Raw genomic sequence first — 10,186 nt, forward strand, 5'->3', positions numbered from 1 at the left:
ATGCAATCCAAAGGCATAGTTGACAGGATTTGCCAGACTTTTCTATAGGCTGAGAGAGTAAAAGAAGAGTCAAGGATGGCTCTAATGTTGGCCTGAACAACTGATAGGATGGAGTTGCTATTCTGAAATGCAGAAGACTGTGAGAGAAGGAAGTTTCTCAGGGAAGATGAGAAATTTATTTTTGAATATTTTAAGTTTAAGATAAACTATTTCACCTCTAAGAGGAGATATCCAATAAGTAATTGAGTATCTGTGTCATAAGTTTGTGGGGGATGTCTGTATTGACAATATGTATTTAGGGGTCATTAGCTCACACAGATGATATCTAAAGTCATGGCAGTAAATAAATCATCATGCAAGTATGCAGACAGAAAAGAAGTTCAAGGTCTGAGTTCTGAGATACACCATAGTAGAGGATGAATATGGGGGGCACCAGCAAGGGAAGGCTCCAAAGGTATGCTTTGTATAGAAAAGTTACCATCCTAATATAGACTAATTGAGAAGAACATTTTTTGATATATTGAAAAATAAGAGACATACAGCACTACAAACGCATACAGTTTTGACATCAGCCCAGGCTTTGGTTAGAGCTCCCAATTCAAATAATTCATTAGCAAATCTTGTAACTGGCTAGCAGACGAGCAATGAAGCCCAAGCCATGAAAATTGTGATGATGATGATGATGATGATTAATTTTTTTTAAACAGAGAGAAAGGCTAGACTTACAGGGTGACCAATAATGCTGGTTTATCCAAGAAGGGGATTCCCAAGACACAGGGCTGTCAGTGCTAAACCAGGTAAGTCATAGGCAAACTGGAATGAGTTGGTCAATCCAACTTAGTGTCAGTCCTTCACTCAAATCTAGCCCTCTCAGTTAATTAACTTGTATTTTCTCATCTGTAAAAGTAGGAGTGACAAAGCGTTGTTATTAAAATAAAATAAAATAAAATAAGAAAATTGCCCATCAGATTGCCTGACACTTACCTAGTAGGTGCTCAATAAATTATGGCTATTATTAGTAGAAGAAAAGCACTCTGTGTACCCCAGTACACCCTATTGACACCATTGGATTATGGCAAGCAAAATATTGGCCTGGCACAGTGGCTCACGCCTGTAATCCCAGCATAGGCTAGGAGGCCAAGGCAGGCAGATCATTGGAGGTCAGGAGTTCGACACCAGCCTGGCCAACATGGCGAAACCCCATCTCCACTAAAAATACAAAAATTAGCCAGGCATGGTAGCACGCGCCTGTAGTTCCAGCTACTCAGGAGCCTGAGGCAGGAGAATTGCTTGAACCCAGGAGGCAGAGGTTGCAGTAAGCCTAGATGATGGCGCCACTGCACTCCAGTTTGGGCAACAGAGTGAGACTCCATCTCAAAAAAAAAAAAATTAGCGTTCACAATTATGATCCTGAGTTACTAAAGAACATTAAACTATGATCATTATATTCCTGTATAGCAACATTATCCATTAAGATGTGTGGGGGTCATGATATTAGGCATGAAATAAGGAGAGGAAGCTCAACACAATATTTGGTCCTACTGTAGATAGTATTTACACTGCTGTAATAATATCTACACTAGTTATTGAATTACAACTTATAGAATTGAATTATAGACAAATTATGGAGAAATTAACGATAGTTTCAGATCATAGTGTAAATATTATTAATCTGTGTATTGTCAAAGTACAGCTATAGTTGACAGAGGTAGCAAAGTGGTAATGGGTTAAAGAGGGACAAAAACAGCAGGAGCATCAAGACCCAACATGGGGAATTAAGAAATGCAGTCTCTTGTTTGTGGAATAAGAAGTTGAAGTTGAATTGTGTTGCTTAAAGATGCCTTAATTCCAAATGGAAAAACTGAGAAGGATAATAGAACCATTCTGGAGGGTGGGAAAATCAGATGAGAGAGACAGAGAGAGAGAGAGAGAGAGAGAGAAAGGGGAGAAAGGGAGGGAGTGGGAGGGATGGAGACACATCACATCTTCTCCCTCCCTTTCTCCCTCCTTCTCTCTCTCTCATCTGATTTTAAACATATGCATTAATTCTATTTATGAAATTTTAAAAATAAAAACAGAAAGGATGTGAAAATGACTTCCAATCCAAAATAACTTAAAGAAAGAATATTTGGATGCATAAAGGCATTCGGCTTTTTCGAAAACGGAGCTATTACATACCCATTCCTTGAGTATGTAAGAATACCAAGATCTTAATCCACCCAGTTCCCCTTTCACTCTGAAGCTGAACCAGTCTTTATAGACACTGAAAATTGGATTCCTGTACCTCAGTTGCACTTTATTTAGATAAAGAGTAGGTACACAATCAACCCCTAAGTACACCACCATTTTTTATGAAATCAGGCCTCCACCTTGGATAATAGCTCTAAAATATTCATTGCCTAACTTTCAAAGCTGTGCATTATTCTATACACAGGGTGTTCCTGTCCAACTTGGCTTCCATAAGAACTTCAATCAAATTCACAGACCACATTCAAATTTGTCAATTGTCCTAATAATAGCTATTATAGGTTCAGGATCATACATAATGTGTAGTTGTCATCTCTCTTTAGTTTTCTTCAACCTGGACCAGTTCCTGAGTCTTACCTTATTTTTATGATCTTGACATTTTTAAAAAGAGCAGGTTACTCACTTTGTAGAAAGTCCATCAATTTGGGTTTGTTTAGTATTTCTTCATAATTACATGTAAGTTATACAATTTTTGGCCGAATTGTATAAAAAGTGATGCTATGTTCTAATGGCATCCTATCAGGACATATACAATATCCATTTATCCTATGCTGTTTTAACTTTTATAAGATAATGTCTGACTCCTCTATTGTAAAATTAACTATTAAATATTTGGTATTAATATGTAGTCTGTGGAGATAACTTTGGAATTATGTAAATATTCTATTCCTTATCAAATGTTCACTTACTAGTTTTAGGATCCAGTGATGAGTCTTCCTTGAATCAGTTTTTATGATAATGATTGCACAATGATCCTAACTCTATCATTTCTTCTATGCTTATTAGTTGGCATCTTACTACAAGGTAGAGTTTTCCATTCTGCCCCAGTTATTTATTTATTCATGCATTTATTCATGCATTTATTCATATCAGCACAGACTTGTGAATTTCTATTTTATTCAGTGGATTATATCTGTTATTAGCATTATTTGTTTTGATGCTTAAATTATCCCAGATTTGGTCAGTGGAAACTTTATTAAGTTGGTTTCTGTGTTCTTATGAATAAAAGGAATAATAATACTGCTTATTATTCTTCAAGCAAATTTTACTTTCTGGCACTAAAAATATCCTTCAGTCTCATCTTGTACTTGTTTGTTCCATATTTGGAATCAGCAATTTATTCAAGGAGCTTGACTCCTTTTAGTGGAAAATAGTATTTAGAAACCAAGATCTGGGCACTACACATACTCATTGCTACTGAGATATTATTGTTTCTAGGCCTTCACAAGAGACGGAGCTAGAAATATATGAACACACACACACACACACACACACACACACACACACAGCCTAGATATTTTTTTATGCCAGTCTGTAAAAGCCATACTCAAAACCATGAGTTCACACCAATATTTCCAATCCTTAACTAACACTCCAGAGTTTTTTCCAACCTTTGCTTTTCCATGTTCGTAATCCCTTTCTCAGACAGTGAGAAACCTGGATTCCATTTAGTCTCAATATATCTACTTTTTCAGTCAATCCTCTAGTATGTAACTAACCTCTTGGCCTCTCAGCGTGTCCCCTTGGCCAACCCCAATCACACTGGCTGAACCATCAGCCCCAATCCCACCAAACACGCTAACTCAGCAGTTCAATCCTCAGCCCAGCCGTCCTGGCCACACTGGCTGATTCTGTGGCACTGGAGCCACCAATCATGCCAGCTGAAGCCTCAGCCCCAACTCTGCTGACCATGTTGACTGCACCAATCCAAAAACTAAGTTTTTAAAACCCAAATAGTCTTGCCATAATTAAAATAATCTATTACAGAAGAAGAAAAAGACATCAGTGGAACAGAATCCAGAATCCAGAAATAGACCTAAATACGCATGGCATTTTAGTTCATAATAAAGGCACCATTTCCAACCAGTGGATTTATATGTAACCTAGTTGGTGGGGTAAATAAAATAGTGTGGGGTTACCTGTAAGATTGTTAGGAAAAGAAAAGATGAATTTGTAGCACTATTTACACTGAAATTAATTATAATTGTATCAAAGATTTTGCATTAAATAAATCCATACAATTTCTGAATAAAGCATGAATTAATTTAGTTAAGATTCTGGAACGAAAAAGGCCTTTCGAAGGAGAACACCAAGACAGAAATTTGATAAATTGAATCACACAAAATTTATTTTCTCTTTGACCAAAAATAAATCAATAAAGCCAAAAAATAATTGACAAATTGGAGAAAGACATTTTCAGTACAGGAAAGCAAACAACTAATGTCCTTAATTTACACAAAGTTTTATACAGGTAAACAAAGTAACAAATGATAAACTCAAATAACAAATGCAAAATGCCAATAAACTTCTGTTCCTTATAAATTACACAGTCTGGTTGGGCGCGGTGGCTCATGCCTGTAATCCCAGCACTTTGGGAGGCCGAGGCAGGCAGATCACTTGAGGCCAGGAGTTTGAGACCAGCCTGGCCAACATAGTGAAATCCCGTCTCTACTAAAAACACAAAAATTAGCCAGGTGTGGTGGCTCATGCCTGTAGTCCCAGCTACTCAGGAGGCTGAGGCAGGAGACTCGCTTAAGCCCAGGAGGCAGAGGTTGCAGTAAGCCAAGATCGCACCACTGAACTCCAGCCTGGGTGATGGAGTGAGGCTGTCTCAACAATAACAAAAATAAATAAAATTTAAAAATAAATTAAACAGTCTAAGGTATTCCATTATAGCAGCACAAAACAGGCTGAAAGAGTCATAATCTGTGATAATCTTATTGTTTTTATTGACAGGCTCTCTTATTAAAATACAAGTTATATTAGTACCTGGCACCCAACAGGCATTAACAAATGTTTATTAAATTAAGTTAAATGAGAGGATTCTGGAAAAGTAGTTTGAGGCTAAACTAGTAAGGATCTTGAAATGCCATATTTGAGAGTTTGGACTTCATGCTAAAGGCATTGGTCACAGTCATCAAAGAAGATATCTGCTCTAGAAAAATAACTGTAATGGTGGTTGGTGATGAATTTTAAAGGGAGAGCCAGTTAAAAGGTTACTGTGGCCAGGCATGGTGGCTCATGTCTGTTGTCCCAGCACTTTGGGAGGCTGAGGCAAGCGGATTGCTTGAGCCCCGGAGTTAAGAGACCAGCCTGCCCAACATGGTAAGACCCAATCTCTACAAAAATTAAAATTTAAAAAAATTAGCCAAATGTGGTGGCACACAACTATAGTCCCAGCTACTCAGGAAGCTGATGCAGGAGGATTGCTTCAGCCTAGGAGGTCAAAGCTTCAGTGAGCCATGATCACATCACTGCACTCCAACTTGGGCAACAGAGCAAGACCCTGTCTCAAAAAAAAAGAGTTCTGGTAATTGCTCAGGTCAGAGGAGACTGAAGCCTGAACTAGGGCAAAGGGACTAGAAGAGAAACTGTTTTGAGGTGCCATCAACACAAATTGGTAATAACTAAAACCTCTATTTATTAAGTGACTATAGTAGGCCCAAACTCTGTACTATCTTCACAACAGCCAAGTAAGATTGGTGTTAGTATACCAATTTTGCAAATAAAAAGGCAAAACAAGTTGCAGAGAACTTAGATAATTTCCCCCAAAGTCACACAGCTAAATAAGGGGCTCTTCTGGATTCTGCTGCAGGGCTATCTCATTCCCACCTCCAAGGAATGAAGGAAAAGGAGCGATGCTAAGTTTCCAGCTGATGTAATTACTCAGATTATTTCCTTTGCTGAAATATGTAAAGGTTTTATTGGAATGGTAATGAATGTGGCTTTGGACATGCTGTGTATGAGAATCCTGTAATATAGTAGGTGATTCTGCATGAAACAGAAACTGACTCTGGCTACCTTGCTGAATAGGATAATTCTTGGAAGGCTATCAGGGCTCACACAGTCACAGTTAGGCTGGAGGTACAGGCTTCATAAAAAGGCCAAGAAGTCAGAGAGTTCCAGATGGCTAGGCAACGGAAAGAAGTCACATATGTATTCATTTCACAAATAGCTACCGAGTGTCTGTGATGGTTAATACTGAGTGTCAACTTGACTGGATTGAAGGATGCAATATTGATCCTGGGTGTGCCTGTGAGGGTGTTGCCAAAGGAGATTAACATTTGAGTCAGTGGGCTGGGGAACGCAGACCCACCCTTAATTGGGTGGGCACCATCTAACCAGCTGCCAGTGAATATGAAGCAGGCAGAAAAATGTGAAGAGACGAGACAGGCCTAGCCGCCCAGTCTACATCTTTCTCCCCTGCTGGATGTTTCCTGCCCTTGAACATCGGACTCCAAGTTCTTCAGTTTTGGGACTCAGACTGGGTCTCCTCTCCTTGCTCCTCAGCTTGCAGCCAGCCTATTGTTGGACCTTGTGATCGTGTAAGTTAATACTTAATAAACTCCCCTAGTTCTGTCCCTCTAAGAGAACCCTGACTAATACAGTGTCTACTGTATGCCAGGCATTTAAGAGCAATAGGGATACAGCAATAAACAGACTATATCTCCATTTTCATGTAACTTACTACTGAGTAGGAAAGCCAGATAATAAAACAAATGTTAATTAAATCAAAAATACAAAAGGGTAGTAAATTTTACTTATTACCAAAAATGGTAGTAAATAAAACAAGGAAGGGGAATAAGGAGTTCCTTGAGAAGAGGGAGGCTGTAATTTTTAACGGAGTAATCAGAAAAGACTGAGAGAGATCTGGTCTTCCCACTGCTGCCACCATAATGAATGGAGATCTCCAAATGTCCCCATGTTGTTGTTAATTTCCTCAAGAATCGGAGGCCTGGGAGCAAGCATCTGATTGGCAAAGCTGAAGGCACATGCCCACCCCCTTAGTTCCTCTGAAGTGAGGGAGAGGGAGAATTGGCCTTTTAACTTTTTTACAGTAGGTACCTACTTTCAAACAACATATTTTAAAATAAGGGATTTTCCTTAAAAAAAGAAGGGCATTTTGACTCTAGACAACCAAAATATTCACAGAAACGGGGGAAATTGTTAAGGGAGAGTCAAAGAAACGACTCATAGAAGAATGAGGGGGAAAAATAGAGGCTAGCACTCTGGAGAGCCTTGAACACATTTTAAGAGGTAGGGAGACAAAAAGGGACCAGGAAAGGAGGCAACAAAGAAAACAATCATGACATAGCAATGTCTGAGAATCCAAGGATAGAGAGCGTTTACAAGGCAAATGGTGACCTTTGAGAGAGCAGTGTGAGATGACGTTTGGAAGCAGAAGCCAGATTGTAAATGGAGAAGGAATTAATGGTGACTGAAGTTAAGTACAGACTAACTTCTGAGCAAGTGTTACATATCCATAATTTATATTGTTGTAATAGTGTTGTGGAATCAGGAGGACCAGAGAGAGGCCTTGGGGTATATACATAAGGATATCTTTATTGAGTGCACTCAGACCCAGCAGACTTAACATCCAAAGACCGGGCCCAGAACAAAGACAGCACTTGACTTTTATACACACCTCAAAAAGGGGTGTGGACCAGCCTGAAGCCGGCTTACAGTGGCATGAAAGCAGGGATACAGAGGCAGGACAAAGACAGTTAATTAAACTGTAACAGGTTCATAACTCAGGATTACACATGACCATTGCTATGCAACCCAGATGTCCATTATCTAGGTTTGCCTAGTGCCTAGCACGGCTTATTCCATGACCTTCACTATAGCGTCCAGGTGGCCTGCTCAGACAGTTTATGACCTTCACTCTACTGCTTAGATAAAACAGAATACCTGAAGTCACCAGTTACAGAGAACAGGAATTTTCATAAACTCATACCATAAAACAAAGGAAAATTTGTTTTTCTTCTCCCTATGTGGAGGGAGTGCTGGGAGAGTCTCCAGAGCACATTCCTTTGTGTCCTGGCTCCTTAGATAGTATTATCAAGACTTTCCCTGGGTCTGGGCTGTGCCCATTGCTGCCTCTGGAACAAGTCAGCCTAATACAGGAAAACTTACTTCTCTTTTTAATTTTTTCTTTAACTTCCCACCTCAATAGGACTTGCAAAATATATTATCCTGAGACAAAAGGGCAGGACTTTTGTGTAGCACTTTGTCCTCACTTCACTTGAACTTCACAATAACTTTGTGAGAAAGGTCTTATTCCCCTTTAGAGAGATGGAAGAAAATGATATCCAATATCCAGTGTGGGAGAGGACTGTAACTCTCTTCCTGGAGTGCATCTTATTGACAGAGATCAAAACCTAGAAATTCCTCTGCAAAGGAATTCAGTGAAAAAAAGAAATCATAAGCACGTACACAGATTTATCTACAAGATTGTACACTGCAATAGGAAAGAAGTGAAAGCAAGCTAACTCCAGCAAGAGGATTGGTACATCCATGCTATGAAAAGACATGCACTGATTGCCAAATAATGTTGCAGCATGAACCGTTCAAGAAATGAAAAGCGTCCTACATGAAAAAAATACACTGAGTGCATGACAGGAGTTTTCTAGTCCACAACATACTTAGGTTCCCAGTTGCAAATCAATAAAGTGACACTCTGGTTTATGTATCAAAAGAAAAGAAAAAGAAATGAAAAGCAAAAAAAGGGTTTACATTTTATGAAGTGAACAGAGCAGACCACAAAACAGAATATACAGTATGATTCTATTGTGTGTGTATGTAATTTTTTTGTGGGCTTTTCTGTATCTCCGAAAATTCTAATATAAAGGAATACTGCTTTTGTAATAAGATTTTTAAAAGAAGGTCCTCAGTGGTTAAGTACTTGTCTGTGGTCAGAGATAACTGGCAAAGAAGAGGCCAAATTTTTTTTGAGACTGCAGTCTCCGGTGTAAAATGAGGGTGCAAGGTGCATCCCCGCTCCTGATTTTTGAATCATCCCTTCCACCACCTTGGAATGACTTCTTACGTAGAACAGCCAGCAAGTGGAGAAACTTGCCTCAATAATGCAAAACTGTCTCCCTAACTTACTTCCTTTCAATGTTCAAGCAAAACAAAGCCCTCTCTACATCCAACATGACAGAAACCCAACATGACAGAAAGTATGAGAATGGTTGGAAATTGCTGAAACAGCAACAGTAAAGATTTAATGAGCTCTCAAAGTACCTCTAGATGTGCAAATATGACAACCCAATAAAAAGAAACACACACATAACCTAGAGCCTTCAAAAATCTAGATTTCTGCCTTTCCACACCTTAACTTGGAATCATTCAGGTGGGTTCCTAAGCATTCTCTCGGAGGTGAGGAATCCTCCAAAGAGGAGACTCTAGGAGGGGCCCAGGTGTGGCAATCTTCAAAAGGATGAGGGATGTCCAGAGGAGAGGTGGCGGGAGGGTGCACTTAAAACACGCGAAAATTGGAAACGTGCCTTCTGCAGTCAGTTCCTTCGGATTTTCCGGCATTTAGAAGCCAGTTCTACTCCTTCAGCCCGACCGTATCTGCAGGTCTCACCCAAGACCAAGACCCCCGCCCCCACCCCTCCTCCACCCGGCCTCGAGCCCCGCCCCGGACGCTGGACCCGAGCGTAACGGGAGCAGGTGTTCACATCAAAGGTCTGGGTCGCGAAGGCAGAGACTCCATGTGCCGCAAAAAAAACTCCACGGACAATTGGGAGACTCCTTTCAAAAAAACAAAACTCCGGAGCCACGCGACTCCGCGCTCAGGGGGCGTGGGTACGGCCCACCACGAGGGCAGGGCTCGGCGCCAGCTCTCGGCAAAACTAACAATATTTGTTAGGCCCTAAACAAAAAGGCCCTAACAGCGATAAATCCATTCACTTCGGGAGTGTAGCAACCTGGGACACCAAGCGCCGCCCACGCCCCAGCTACGCGCCTCAGGGACACATCGATTGAGGCGCGGCTACTTTCGCGCACGCGCCTTGCATGCCCGTGCTTCGCCCTTACAGCAGAGCGCCTAAAACCGCTACGGTGGCTCTGCTGGGGACAAATTATTCACGTCCCACTGTTCTGCAAACCCAATCCGGGAGGTATGACCTGGCTGGGACAGTTTAGGAAGATG

The 10,186-nt window shown here is 40.5% G+C and overlaps 1 annotated feature.

Annotated features, from left to right (window-relative positions):
* Positions 9,345-9,875: an enhancer, noted in NCBI's record as "NANOG-H3K27ac-H3K4me1 hESC enhancer chr1:165599392-165599922 (GRCh37/hg19 assembly coordinates)". NCBI's record gives its function as "activates a minimal SCP1, AML or CMV promoter by ChIP-STARR-seq in naive H9 embryonic stem cells {active_cell/tissue: H9 hESC(naive)}" and the evidence as "EXISTENCE:reporter gene assay evidence [ECO:0000049][PMID:30033119]".

Source organism: Homo sapiens, chromosome 1 (assembly GCF_000001405.40).
Source record: "Homo sapiens chromosome 1, GRCh38.p14 Primary Assembly".
Taxonomy (NCBI): Eukaryota; Metazoa; Chordata; class Mammalia; order Primates; family Hominidae; genus Homo; species Homo sapiens.